This window comes from Homo sapiens, chromosome 8, assembly GCF_000001405.40.
Source record: "Homo sapiens chromosome 8, GRCh38.p14 Primary Assembly".
Classification (NCBI taxonomy): Eukaryota; Metazoa; Chordata; class Mammalia; order Primates; family Hominidae; genus Homo; species Homo sapiens.
The window spans coordinates 96,940,772-96,956,160 of record NC_000008.11 but is presented as its reverse complement, the minus strand read 5'-3'; the positions used below and the strand labels follow the sequence as shown (position 1 = coordinate 96,956,160).

At 37.2% G+C, this 15,389-nt stretch overlaps 1 protein-coding gene and 1 long non-coding RNA gene across 2 annotated transcripts in view; one reads left to right on the top strand and one right to left on the bottom strand.

Annotated features, from left to right (window-relative positions):
- LOC101927066 (uncharacterized) overlaps positions 1-4,297 on the top strand; it is a 494,634-nt gene extending 490,337 nt beyond the window's left edge. Inside the window, exon 3 of the long non-coding RNA NR_125390.1 lies at positions 2,551-4,297. This is a non-coding gene — a long non-coding RNA (uncharacterized LOC101927066). The remainder of the gene's footprint in view (positions 1-2,550) is intronic.
- Positions 1-15,389, bottom strand: part of CPQ (carboxypeptidase Q) — a 498,260-nt gene that overhangs the window by 187,341 nt on the left and 295,530 nt on the right. The gene's annotated exons all lie outside the window — the stretch shown is intronic.

The window sequence follows — 15,389 nt, the reverse complement described above, 5'->3', positions numbered from 1 at the left end:
TTCATTGTAGATTCTGGATATTAGCCCTTTGTCAGATAAGTAGATTGCAAAAATTTTCTCCCATTCTGTAGGTTGCCTGTTCACTCTGATGGTAGTTTCTTTTGCTGTGCAGAAGCTCTTTAGTTTAATTAGATCCCATTTGTCGATTTTGGCTTTTGTTGCCATTGCTTTTGGTGTTTTAGACATGAAGTCCTTGCCCATGCCTATGTCCTGAACAGTATTGCCTAGGTTTTCTCCTAGGGTTTTTATGGTTTTGGGTCTAACATTTAAGTCTTTCATCCATCTTGAATTAATTTTTGTATAAGGTGTAAGGAAGGGATCCAGTTTCAGCTTTCTGCACATGGCTAGCCAGTTTTCCCAGCACCATTCATTAAATAGGGAATCCTTTCCCCATGTCTTGTTTTTGTCAGGTTTGTCAAAGACCAGATAGCTGTAGATATGTGGCATTGTTTCTGAGGGCTCTGTTCTGTTCCATTGGTCTATTTCTCTGTTTTGGTACCAGTACCATGCTGTTTTGGTTACTGTAGCCTTGTAGTATAGTTTGAAGTCAGGTAGCGTGATGCCTCCAGCTTTGTTCTTTTGGCTTAGGATTGACTTGGCAATGCAGGCTCTTTTTTGGTTCTATATGAACTTTAAAGTAGTTTTTTCCAATTCTGTGAAGAAAGTCATTGGTAGCTTGATGGGGATGGCATTGAATCTGTAAATTACCTTGGGCAGTATGGCCATACAAGTGGTAGAAGGATATGAACAGACACTTCTCAAAGGAAGACATTTATGCAGCCAAAAGACAGATGAAAAAATGCTCATCATCACTGGCCATCAGAGAAATGCAAATCAAAACCACAATGAGATACCATCTCACACCAGTTAGAATGGTGATCATTAAAAAGTCAGGAAACAACAGGTTCTGGAGAGGATGTGGAGAAAGAGGAACACTTTTACACTGTTGGTGGGACTGTAAACTAGTTCAACCATTGTGGAAGACAGTGTGGCGATTCCTCAGGGATCTAGAACCAGAAATACCATTTGACCCAGCCATCCCATTACTGAGTATATACCCAAAAGATTATAAATCATGCTGCTATAAAGACACATGTAGATGTATGTTTATTGTGGCACTATTCACAATATCAAAGACTTGGAACCAACCCAAATGTCCAACAATGATAGACTGGATTAAGAAAATGTGGCACATATACATCATGGAATACTATGCAGCCATAAAAAATGATGAGTTCATGTCCTTTGTAGGGACATGGATGAAGCTGGAAACCATCATTCTCAGCAAACTATCACAAGGACAAAAAAACCAAACACCGCATGTTCTCACTCATAGGTGGGAATTGAACAATGAGAACACTTGGACACAGGAAGGGGAACATCACACACCGGGGCCTGTTGTGGGGTTGGGGGAGTGGGGAGGGATAGCATTAGGAGATATACCTAATGTTAAATGACGAGTTAATGGGTGCAGCACACCAACATGGCACAGGTATACATATGTGACAAACCTGCATGTTGTGCACATGTACCCTAAAACTTAAAGTATAATAAATAAATAAAAAAAATAACAGAAAGACAAGGTAATTTTTAAAACTTAATAGATACCACAAAGGAGAATGAATAGTTTAGTTGTCCTCTCTCTAAATGCAATCAACTAAAATAAAAGAACATCATTAAAAAAAGACTGTTCACTTTCTTCATCAATGGACACTGTGACATTATTGTCATGTTGTGGATTTAGATTTTTAAAGTCAACACTCATGAGGTTGTCCCTGTCCCCCTAATTATTTTGACTTGTCATTAGATTATATTATCATACATTAAATCAGTTAAATCTCATTAGTCGATTGTAGCCATGTGTTGAATAATCACAACCTGTGGAAAACCTTAAAAAAAAAGAAAGAAAAGTGGACTTTTTTTCTCAATTGTGCATTTTTTGAAAAAACAATACAAACAAAAACATGTATTTTAAAATTTAATTTGTATTTATTAGCATAAACAGTATATTTTAATAGGCTATAAATTAGAGCAAGATTAAAGGAAATACAAGCATCAAAGTACCATTCTTACTAAATTATATTTCTCATTAAGTTTTGAATGTTAGCATTGCTTAACTTAACTCGGCCCTTGATACAATCTTGTTTAACATTTCCATCAATACCTTGGAGATATTCTTATGAATTTTAAGATGATAAAAATATAAGATGAATCATTAATATGTTGGACCAAATAATCAAGATTGTAAAATATCCTGAAGCACAAATAATAGCTTAAAACTGACAAGATAATTCAGTGGGGATAAATCTGAAGCACACACTGCACTTTGAGAGGGTGAGTTGATAGCGGTCTGTCTGGCAACAATCAGGAAACTCAGGTGGTGGCCACAAGCATATTGAGCTAACAGTATCTCAGTCATGGGAAAATGTTTTTAAAGATTTTAAGGTTCATTGATAAAAATAAAATAATGCTGTTGATTATGTGAAGTAATACTCCCTTTTTATTCTAAATAAATCCAACACTTTTTTACTCCCTTTTGTTTCCGTCCAGGACACCTGAGGAAAGAGTTTGGAAAAGAGACAGTGGTCAGAAAAGAACTGACAGGATTTTCCAGTGTCTAGAAATGCACTGCTTGAAGAGCAGCAGAATATATTACACTGGAGAAGAGAAGACTGTAAGGGGCTAGATGCTTCATCTGCAAGAAGAGTAGACTTGCCCTGAAGGAATAATCAGGCCAGTGAGAAAGAGCATATGCACATAGATTTGAGCTCAGTAAAGAATAAACCTGAGCAGTCCCACAAGGGAACAGTACTCCCCAGAGGATAAGCTGCCAAATATGGGCAGTGTTCAAGCAGAGGTGCAAGGAACACCTGCCAGGTAAACAATGGACACCTGCCCTGAGGAGGCCGTGAGATAGATCATCTCCAAAGACACCATCAACCTCTATGAAAAGGAAGGATGGGCTTATTATGACCACTATTCAGAGAGAAGAAACTCTTAATGTTTTCCTGTGATATTAGTATTGTTTTCTAGTGCAAATTCCTATCATCATGCTGCTCTTCAACTGGAACCAAAACAAAAATTTAACATTATATTATACTACTAATAAAATTAATGATTAAGGAAATCTGCCATCCTAAACAGAACCTTTTATGACTTAAAATTTGCCTTCCTGAATTGGAGCTATGCTGTATTGACAACTTCCATTGGAACCCTGGCACATACAGTAGGAAGGCATAATAACTAAGATCCCTATCAATACCAGCTTTTAGGGGAGAACTCCATACTTTATAGTGTCCTTTGATAATCCATGATGGACTGTTATTTCTACATTTGCCTGTTTTCACATTTATTTTTTATGTTTTGATTCTACAGATGGAAAGTTCCACAAAATTATCATCCACTGTGTAAAACAGTACTTCATTTTATCTCAACTAAAATTACTTTCTTAAGTATGAAATACATAACAATCATAATTTTGTAGACATTTCTAAATAAGACTTTTTTCTCTATTTGCAGGCTAAAGATTGCTATACCCCTTATAATAGTCTCATCATGCCATTTTGGTGGTTCCTTCTGAAACTTTCTTGAATTCCACTAGATTTTGGAGATGTAGCAAGCAAAACTATGATATATCCTATACATTTTTTTGTATGTTATATATAAACTGTAAGAACCTTCTTGACAGCTCCCAAGATTTACTCAATCTTTTTAATTGCATAGAGCTACAGACATTAGGAAACCTACAATGATTCTAGATTCCTTTGCAGGCTCCTACAATCACACCCTATCAAAGCTAGAATGACTTTAGGAGATTGTGGCCAACATTCTACTTTTCCACAGAGAAGGAATGTTTGCCCAAGTGGCAGGGCCTGAAAATAGAAGCCAGAGAGTTTGACCCAGAGCTGAGGACTATTTCAATCATATCCCTCTGTATGCTTCACTAAAGATGGGGCAGAAGCTACTTTTGACTGCTTTTTTTCTAATGCATGACCTTTTATTTGAGTATGCTAAAAATTAATCTGCCAGTTTTTGCTTACTCACATGGCATAATGGGTGCTTTCAATAATTTCTCACTACCACCTTGACATGAGCAAGTTACTTAATCTCTCTAACCTTTGTTTCTCTCTCTGTAAAGTGGGAATGATAATACGAACCTACCCTTAAAAAGTGTGTTGTAAGAAATAAATGAGATGACTTGTTTATCATGATCATATTCCGGGCACATAGTGTAAACTCTTTAAATTGTTTCCATTACTGATTATGCATAATTATTGTAAGATGACCTCAAACATTCAAAAAAAAAACAATTCTCTCTAGGAAAGATTCACTTGGGAAGCTGAAAAGCATAAGCATGTTTTATACAGACTGCTTATGCGGGCACTGGTTTAGGGTACTATGCACTGCCAGTTTGAATTAGAGGGAGTATCAATCAAAAGCACATTATTTAGAAAGGTGAAAATATTCTAAAAATGTTGTTTGGTGAACCTAAGTTAAAACAGCATGAACTTATTCCACTTAAAAACATCCATACACCGTGAAATAGGTAAGTTACGTTTTTATTTCAATAATAGCTTACAAAAAGGGAAAAAGCTATAGCTCAAGCAATCATATACAAAACCTCTCTAAAAAACTCTGGAGTTACAAGGTAACCAGGTAGCATTGGTGAAAATGAATTCAGGTGTTTGAACTGAAGCTTCCCAAAATGCACCAGGGGCTAGTTTTGACCTGGTGATAGCGAATTTTAAGAATGTAAATTGCATTTACAGAGTTGGCAAGACTGGCCATAGACTGGCTCTCTCCCTAAAAGGGCCTTGAACACAGGGAGAATATCCAGAACGGGACCTTAGAGAAAGCATCAAAAGTCTGCCATATTTCACATAGAAATGAGAAGCTTAAGCTGGGGACTAAAAGTATTTCCTGATATCACATTTGAGCATAATCTCTGTAACGATTGACAAGCATGGGGAATGGAGAAGAAAAGGCAAATATCAGGGTTTTTTTTATGCCATTACAGACAAATTTTAGTGCAGCGTTGTTTAAAGATGAAAGAAAAAACTAAATGGTCTGTCAAAGAAGCATTATTTCATCTGTTTTAACTCTATAACAATTTATGAATTTTAATCTCCATAAATTCCTTCAGTAAACCACAATACAGTAGGACATATTTTAACCTTGTCTTTCTCCCTCTTATTACAACACAGTAATTAAGATCTGGGTTTCAGAGGCAAGCAGGCCGGGATTTGAAGTCCACCTCTGCCACTTACTAGGAACCTCAGCAAGCTGCTTGAGCTCTCTGCGCTCCCTCTTTTGTGTATCTAAAAATGGATGTTAACATCTGTCCACAGAGTTGATGTAACAGCAATTGTAAGGAAGGTCCTAATGCATTGCCTAGTATCCAGTGTATGCTCAATCCATCTAGCATCCTAATTCATTTTAGAATTTAATTACATATTTTATTGTTTTCATAATGTCCAATTGCTATGGTGTATGTTCTTGGTAAAAGTGGCTCTGATAGTAGTTCTGAAGCAGTTGAGGGGCAACAGACACACTCCCCTGGTGGTAGGGGGCTGGGAAATGGAGATAGGGTGCATAGTTTGAAAATTAAAAAGCCTCCTATTTCAGATTCTCACAGATTTCTACTGGGGAGAGGGGAGGAGGAGACCCTCCAACCTCAGCCTTCAGCTGAGAAACACCAGCCTTTCTAATGACAGAGACCTTTTTATTTCCTTCCCATGTATTCCTCACAAGGCCTGGCATACAGCAGGGTCAATAAATCAATCTGAGTTTATTTGTTTCTGTTTAGTAATAAAATATGATTCAGAATCCAGCAAGTTCAGTTCCTTAAAGAAAACAATATTATGTTTTGTGATCAATGCATAATTAAAACAAATTTCCCATTAATTCCCCTGACCTTTACAATTTTAGTCACATAAACCCATTAAAGAAGTTTATTCTCGACTACTGTGTAATGTAACTTATTTTCTCTCAGTGATGAGTATAAACAATAAGTACATTAAAAAATGATGAACCTTTATTATAGTCTTCAAAGGTCAGAATCATACAGAGCTATGGACAAGAAATTAGGACAGAAATATGCTTTAAAATGCTTCAGAAGTAATGGTGAGACTTCTGGTCAACATGATTCAGCAAATTCACACCATTATAAAACTCCTCCTATTCCAAACGTGATAATTAAAGATGAAACATAAAAAGTAAACATAAAAATGTTTATAGTTTGTTTCCAAGAACCAGATAAACATCTCTGTGGACTAGAAACGCATTAGAATCACAAGCAGTGAGTAAGTCTGAAGTCAGGGAACCTGCAAGGCTCCAGATTTAGAAGCCAGCACTGACTGCTGGGCATTCTGCTCCTACAGGATAAGAGAATCTAAAATTGGCTCACTGGAGATAAGGAGACCTAAGCCAGGTTAACTGTAAAGCCAAACAAGGAGGTTGGGCTAATAAGAAGAAGCTAAAAACAAAACTACAACTACAACAACAAAAAACACGACACACTAAGAGAAGCAGTTTTATAAAAATTTAAGCCTGTGAGGGAAAAGTTGACAAAGATGTGATTCAGACCCAGGCACAGAATCAAACCACCTGCTCGCTTGATAACAGAGTATGTGATATCCCCAATATCACCATTGGCAAGGGTGGCTGATAGAACATAATAAAACCTGGGTCTGGACTGGAAGTCTTTCAGACCAGATAAAAGTGATCACAAAACCTCAAGGAAAACAAGAGTAAGCCCAGAGAAAGGGAAAAAATGTAATAAAAAGTGAATGTAAAAACATCCCACTCAAAATGAGTCAGCAAACGAAAATTCCAAAACCCATGAAAAGGTATAATACTAAAAATGTCAACAAGAATTAAAGCATATGAATACAAAAAAAAAAAATCAAGAAAACATAAACGAGGACAGTAAGAAAGGAAAAGACTGACAAAAGGACTATAGGACTAAAAGAAAACAACTAATGAAACCGCAATATTAAATCCTCCCCTTCCCAATTATTACACTGAATTTTAATGAATTAATTCCCAATCCAAAGACATAGAGTAGCTGAATGGAAAACAAACAAAATACCCAACTACATGCACTCCACAGGAAACTCACTTTAGACTTAGTGAGACATACAGGGTGAAAGTGAAGGGCTAGAAAAAGGTATTCTAAGCAAATGGTAACCAAAAGAATGCATGGGTGGCTATCCTTAGACAAAACATACTCTAAGTCAAAAACTATCACAAGAGACAAAGAAGGACATATACAATGATTAAAAAGGTCAATCCATCAGGAAGATATAAGAATTATAAATATATATGCATCCAACATCAGAGCACCTAGATATGTAAAGCAAACATTAACAGAACTGAAGGAAGAAATAGATAGCAATACAGTAATAGTAGGAAACTTCGATACCACACTTTCAATAATGAAGAGGACATCAATACGGAAGATAAGTAAGGAAACAGAGGACATGAATAATATTATAGATCAAACAGACCTAACAGATACATACGGAGCATTTCACCCAGCAGTGGCAGAATACACATTTTTCTTAAGTGCCCCCAAATTTTTCTCCAAGGTAGGTAACATGCTAGGTTACAAAAAAAGTCCTAACCAACTTAAGAAGGTAGAAATCATACCAAGTATTTTTTCTGACCACAATGGAATGACACAGAAATCAATAGCAAAAGAAAAACTGAAAAATCTATAGATACATGGAAATTAAAGAACACACTTTTAAACAACCATTGTGTCAAAATGAAATCAAAAAGGAAATTAGAAATACCTCAATATAAACAAATGAAAACACAATATATCAAAACTTACAGGCTGCAGTTCACAAATTGGAAAAATTAATACTGTTAAAATGTTCATACTATCCAAAGCAACCTAAAGATTCAATGTCATCTTGTAACTGAACACAGGTCTGGCCACTCACTGCTTACAGAGTCCAATTAACAAGAGAGAGATCTGGTAGAAAGAAAGTGACTTTATTAACCAAAACTAGTAATGGGGAAGTGGCCAGATTCCCTATCCAAAGTAACCACTTTGAATTTCTAGGAAGAAGCTAAGTATTTAAAAAGGGGAGACTTGATATGGAAGGCAAGCAGGAGTCGCGCTAAGTACTAGATCTGCGTGTCTTGTTTTGGTTGCTATATTGGGTCTTGGTCCACCTGGAGCATGGGCTGGCATCATCTCAACAATGGCCAAGTTGTTGACTAGCTACCTTGAGGTTATCTGAAATTTTGAAGCAGGGTTTCCGGGTTTGGTCTGCCTGTCTCAAGATTAAGTCCCAGAACTTTAAGTAAGCACATAATTAGATACTAGCATACAGTTAGATAATGATGGGAAAGAGAGGGACATGAAGTCTTATTTTAAGGTTAAGGGGAAATGCTTCTGCAGTTAGCTTCAAGGTTACATCTTGAGATTAAGGAGAAAAGAGAAAGGAGAAAAAAAGTTTTAAAATGCATTTTTGAAGCCAAGCTGCTTGGCTACAATCCCTATCAAAATCCCAATAGCAGTTTTTTGTTTGTTTGTTTGTTTGTTTGTTTTTTTACAGGCATAGAAAACACAATTCTAAAATTTATATGGAACCACAAAAGGCCACAAATAGCCAAATCAATTATAAGAAAAAACAACAAAGCTGGAAACATCACACTTCCTGATTTCAACATGTATTACAAAGCTACAGTAATCAAAACAATATGGTACTGACATAATGACAGTCATACAGACCAATAGTAGGAGACAATGGGGATACATTTGAAAAATGTGTCATTTAGGCAATTTCTTTGTTGTGCAAGCACCATAGGGTGTACATAACAAACCTAGATGATATAGCCTACTCCATTATAATTTTGTGAGACCACTTTCATACATGTGGCCAGTCATTGATCAAAACTGCATTATGTGGCACATGGCATATATACATGTTCTTAGTCAAATATATTTGGAAAATGCTGTACCAATATATCTCACTCTAGAGAAACCCATTGAATGATATTTTATGCAGCATTTCTCAAATGTTATATCCATGCATTCACCAAGAATTTATCAAACCACTGTGTGCTGGCCACCATACTATGTACTGGGGATACAGCAATGAACTTGACAGACAATGGCTCTGTTCTTCTCAACTTACATTCTAATTGGAGGACAGTAGATGTACAAGTTAACAAAAATAATTCCAGGGACTGACACATGATGTGAAAAAATAAAATCAAATTCTATGACAGATAGTGGCAGAGACCTCAGCGGCCAGAAAACGGTCTTTCCAAGAAAGTAAGGTTTGAGTTGAGACTTGAGTGATAAGAGCTGGCCACATGAAGCTCTGAGAAAGAGAACTACAGCCAAAGGGAGCAGCTGAAGCAAAGTCCACAGGGTCAGAATGAGTTTGAGTGCTGAAGTCTTTCTTCACAAGTTAGATTAAGTGGCGTACTGACCCAGGAAGCTCCATTTAGGGAATCTTGAGGTACCAGAAATACTAGTTTAATTTGGATTTCAGAATTATGGAGGGGCATGTTAATTTAGAAAATTATGGGGACTGTTGTGGGGTGGGGGGAGGGGGAGGGATAGCATTGGGAGATATAACTAGAGTTAGTGGGTGCAGCGCACCAGCATGGCACATGTATACATATGTAACTAACCTGCACAATGTGCACATGTACCCTAAAACTTAAAGTATAATAAAAAAATAGAAAATTAAAGAAATAAGTAAACACTCCCAAACAGATTTATCTTGCTGATAATAATTTTCTTTCAATTAGTGAAATGTGATACATTAAATCTAGAAGTCCCAAAAAATATTCAATATAGCAAACTAACATGACAATTATTTTCTAGAATTATTTTTGTAATTATCAAATAATTTTGTTTTGGAAATGAAAGCAATGCAAGTATCTGTTTTAGAAGTCCTATGGAATGGAACTAAAAGGGAAGAGTCGTTTTTGAAAAAAAATCTATCTTTCTACTATGGAAAACTGGCAAACAGACGAGTGCTGAAGATGAAATCAAATGCAAGAGGAGCTGGATAACCAGGAAGACATAAGCAGGGATATACCTTTTCACAAAGTTAATTGGAAAACCAGCATCATAGAAAGCAGGCCTGATATGTGCAGTCTGTGATGCTGGTATCATCAACAGGTCAGCATGACCCAGGGATTCTGCAGTGCATGAAATGAGCAGCCACTGCTGAAGGCAAGTCACCTGGAAGTCACTTGAGCTGACTACAATTCACAGCATCACCAGTTTTGAACAGAGAGCAAACACAGGGGAACCTGAAAGCAAACTAATAGTGTGGAGAACTTGCTTAAGAAAGAGGATACAGTTTAGGAGCAGGAAGAAACCAGTTAATGGAGACTTCTCCCTAGGCATATATGATAAAATGGGGACAAGCGAACAAGTTAATGGGAAGGGTTTTGTTTTAGTAAGAAATGAAACATCATATCATTAAACAGATTATTTTATAGAAATATGTTGTAATTCTTCCAACTTCAAACCTAACTTGAAAGAGGTGCTAAATTGGATATAGGGGCAAAAATAACCACGCTCCTAGGCACTCTTTCATCTTGGGAAAAAAGAAAAAACAGCTCAATCAAATCTTGTATGGCATGGAGTGCTTTGTTTAAATCAATTTCCTGATTAGATAGATTAGATTTTTAAAATATAGTTGTCAATCCTTCTTAAAGATATCAGCTAAGATCAATGGAACACAACAGACAGCCCTGAAGCACATCTGTGTATGTGTATACAAAATAATTAAGTTTGTTGTAAAAGATGCACCAAAATACCAATATACTATCTGCATTATGAAACATCTGCAACAATGGAAATTCAAAATGAGAAAACCCTCAGTTTTATATTTGCTTCCAACATCCTCATGGATCTCCCCACACCCACTTTTGAGACGACTGTGCTCTCTGCCCCACTGACCCTGGCTGAACAGCAACCATGATCTCCAGGAGAGCAGGGCCCATGGCCGTCCTGCTCATCATCCAATCCCTGGTTCCTTAGAGCACTCAACAAGCATTAGTTCCCCCAGAGCTCTTTTCTTCCTAGGGGGCTGACACTGGACATAGGAGATATAAGCTTTTCCACGAGCTTTAAGCAATCTAATTCTACAGCTTCTGGGGACACTGAAGAGAACTTCACCCGGAGACATGATGATGAGCGCTGGGGTGTAAAGTGAGTCCTGTAGCTTCAGCTACTGCTAAAAGTGAAAGGGAGTTTTTTTTAATACCCTCTAGGAAGTACAATCCATAAAAAAAGGAATTCGAGGTATTTCCCTACTACCCAGGCCACTGGAAGAATTTTTTAAATTGAAAGGAATAAATATGCAAACACTGTAACCTTTTAGAAGTACAACTGTTTAAAAAGAGTATACTAGCAAGCTGCTCAAATATTCTAAAACAATGAGCAGCTTGACATTTTTCAAACCAATATTTTAAAACTCAGATCCACATGTGCACTGGAAATTAATGCCGTTTGTTCAACAATGATAGACTTGATTCATATCCACTCTCGTACAGTGGATTATATTTGCTGATTTCATTAAACCTTCAAAAGGTTAAAGCTGGTTGACATATGAAAAACTCCACACCTCCAGAACAGGAAATTTTGTACCAGTCCTTTTTTTATTATTGTTTTTAATAACAAAGCTACACTTCAGAAAGAAATGGTACAGCATAGGACTCTGTTCCTTACTAGCATTGATTATATTTTCAAACTTTTATTATATCAGGATATACTAACGAGACGACAGAAGCAGGGGGTCATGAACAAATGGACTGAACAGACTAGAAACACCTCAGAACTCCCAGAACTGCCTGGAGGGGACTTTGGAGGGAGGCTGCAGCTCTCAACCCAAGGCTGTAGGATGGAAAACTGGGTATGAACCATAATGAGACCACTTTTGGAATCTTGGCTGGTGGGCCAGAGGATATTTTGATCATAGACAGAACTCCGGGATTCAGTACTAAGCAATATCAATCGTCTTACTGTGTTTTTGATAACACTAAAAAAAAGAAAAAATTCTCAAGAGGGATTGTACCAGGACTAACAGAAGGGCTGTATAACTCCAGAGAGATTGAAGCCAGCCTTTAAATATGCTTTATAAAGTACTTGAATCAGGAAAAAAGAACTTCTTGACCATGCCAGAGACATATTATGATCAATGTGGGTTAAACTAGGGCTTCCAAAATCATGACAGTAATTTCTGCAGTAAGATCTTTAACATCTATTAATGTACAAAACCTTCCAGCCTAAAAGGTTTAGTAATACAAATAACTATTACTTTGTCAAACCCTGAGTGACGATAAGAGTCCTGGAATTAACCCCAATATGCATTAGAAGCTTCAACTACTGTACCTAGACACATTTTTGAAAAATTTCACAAACATACAAAAAGCTACAACACTTCTCACAGTTGTTATGTTATGACCCCACGATGCCCTTCAGGTATCTATTTTTCTACTCTTTTGAAAATGGAGGTTTCTTCAGATTCCTAATTTCCTCCATTATTTCATTTTAACTTAAATAAACCAAGAGGACCAGCCTGCTACTTTCTTGCTGTGCAACATTATGCAAGTTACTTAGCTTCCCTGTGCCTTGGTTTCTTAACTATAAAAGGAGAAGAGTAATAATACTTAAAGTGCTGCTTATTATGAGTATTAGCAGAATATATAGAAATCGTGCAGAACAAGGCCTGACCCATGGTAGTCAGTTATCAATGATTTGTATTATTTGTATTATTTCAATTGTATCTATGGATTGTATGAAAATAGGTCCCACCATTACATACAGAGAAAATAGTATATAGGATCTTTATAACAAACTTAATTATTGTGTACACGCATCTACAGATGCACCTCAGGGCTGTCTGTTCTGTTCCATTGATCTTAGCTGATATTGAAATTCTTAATAATTTACTTACAGGTCATTCAGCTTTTCTAATTAAAATTCTGGCCTGGGATTATCTGTTATTTTACAGTGAAGTGCTAGAGGCTTTCCAAAGAAAGAGGATTTGTATGGGTCTGGAAGGCCAGCTGCTGACTCCAGCTTTCTATCGTTCAAGCCACTGGACATTACCTGGATCCAGTGGGAGCCTTCTAGAAAGCCAGATCTCTAGTAAGTAATATATCTAGAATCCTCTCAAATGGAGCTCAACTAGATTAGCTATAAGTACATCATAGGAATGTCTGGCTGCAGCTCCTAGAGGTGACATTGAAAGTCATATTCATAGTTATTTCCTGAAATAAAGGCAAGGAGCCAAAGGGAAGAATGACAAAGAGGCACTAAACTGAATTTTTCCAAGTGTGGCTCTTAGAGCACCAGCATCAGAATTGTCTGTGACATCTGCATCAGTGCAGACTCCTGGGTCCCGCCCCAGATCTAGTGAATCAGAATCTGAGCATGGGTCCCAGGAATCTACATGTTTTTGTTTTTGTTGTTTGTGTTTAAAGGAATATACATTTTAATCAAGCACTCAGATGATTATAATGGATGGTATATTTCCAGAACTGCTCCGGATATTCCACCCAGGTCATGGGACTGAGCCATAAACCTATGTTGTTGGTGATGGATCTTCTGTATCAGCTAGAGGAGCCATAGGTTGTTTGACCTATGTCTCACCTCTTTTATACCCCAAGGGTCTGTTTTTCATTTGCTTGGTCCCTGCACCCAACCCAGCCTCAAACAGAGAAACCAAAACTACAAATCTCGCTGGGACCAAAGAAGGCAACTGGGCAGAGCTGGCCACCCTGAAAACTTCGCTCCAAGTAACCTGCCTCTATAGGATTCCTTCCTTAACATGCATCTGGCATTACATACAAACAATTGTAAGGGCTTAGGCTAAGGAGTAAGGTTTGCAAATCCAAACTCAGCCCCCTGCATTATGGGGATGAAAGAAGGGAATGGGATATGGTAAAATATCAAATAATTGCATTTTGTGGTTTACTTGTGAAATCAAGTTAAACAGTCTTTGGAAGGGCAATGCTATTTCAGGTTCTGCCAACAAAAGTAGCCAAATTGTTTCTCTAAGTTATGAATGAGGAATATACCATTCTCAGTTATTTAGATATTGCCAAATAAATTAATCTTCTCTAGAGGAAAGGATAAGGATAAACATTCCAGCTCATATATTACCATTAAAGAGATTCACTATTTCAGCAGTAGCTTGAATGGCTAAACACCTTCCTCTTTCACTTATCTGCCTTATTATCACTCTATCAGTTCAGTTTTCTTGCATTGCTATATTTAAAAATATAAAAATGACTACATTTAATTCATGGTTATGACAATAGGACTTAACAACGCAGTATGTATGTAAAGATATGAAAACAGTGCTTATCTCATCAAATAAAATCACAAAGTTTCATTCTAATTGTTTTAGAATCATGGTTCTCAGTTATATTCATGACATACCTAGCAGGAAAGAAAAACATCACCTCTGGCAGGATGGAATAGGAGACCTGGAGGAGCTTGGCAAATTTTCCAGGGTTCCACAGCATGTTAGCTGGGAAACCCTCAGTTCTAAGCTGCCTTGGTTGCTCCATCTACTCAACCTCATACTGACACTCAATAACAACTCATTACTACTAATAGTAACCATATTGTACAGTTTTAAGACATACTGCCATGCTTTGGACAGGAGCCTACAAAGAAAGAACTCTTTATAGAGTGCAAACTAGGGCAATATATGGGCAGCTGAAAGTCTGAAGCTGATTTACATGCAAGCCAGTCAGGACAAAAGATTAAAGAAACTAGGAACCCAGGCAAATTCAGCTGAGCTCTGGCATGCAAATAAAGTTTACAAATGAGAAAGACATCAAGTTTATAATAGTAAGAGTGCAAGGCCAGCACAAGTTCAGCCAATCCCAGCAGCTTGTTAAAAGCAGTTCTCCCCTACCCCACTGAATCTGCTTTCTGATTTCAAAGTTATATAAGCCTAGCAGCAGCAGCAGCAGCAGCAGCACCAGGGCACTCCATGTAGTACCCACATTCCATCCAGCCAGTTACCAAGTGCCAGATATGCTTCTAAGGGAGAGGGCCGAAAGCAATTTTGTAAGCCCCTGTGTTTTCATTTATGTGAATTTCTCAGCTTTTCTAGGTCAGAGAAACACTGGGTGATTACAAGCTCTTACTTATATGGGAGGGTGAAAAAGCATGCTGGCTCATTTTAAGGAGCTGACACCAGTTCCCAAGATTTGGGGAAAGAAGATGAAGTGCTTGAATGAATCCAAAAGGTATTCTTTTTAAGTATAATTAATTGATAGAACGTTTAATGTCTCCTGAAGGCATCGATAAAGAGATCATATGAGGTACTCTGAGTATTAAATTACCAAAGAAGACTAACTCCAGTAATAAAAGATGGGCTAGTTGA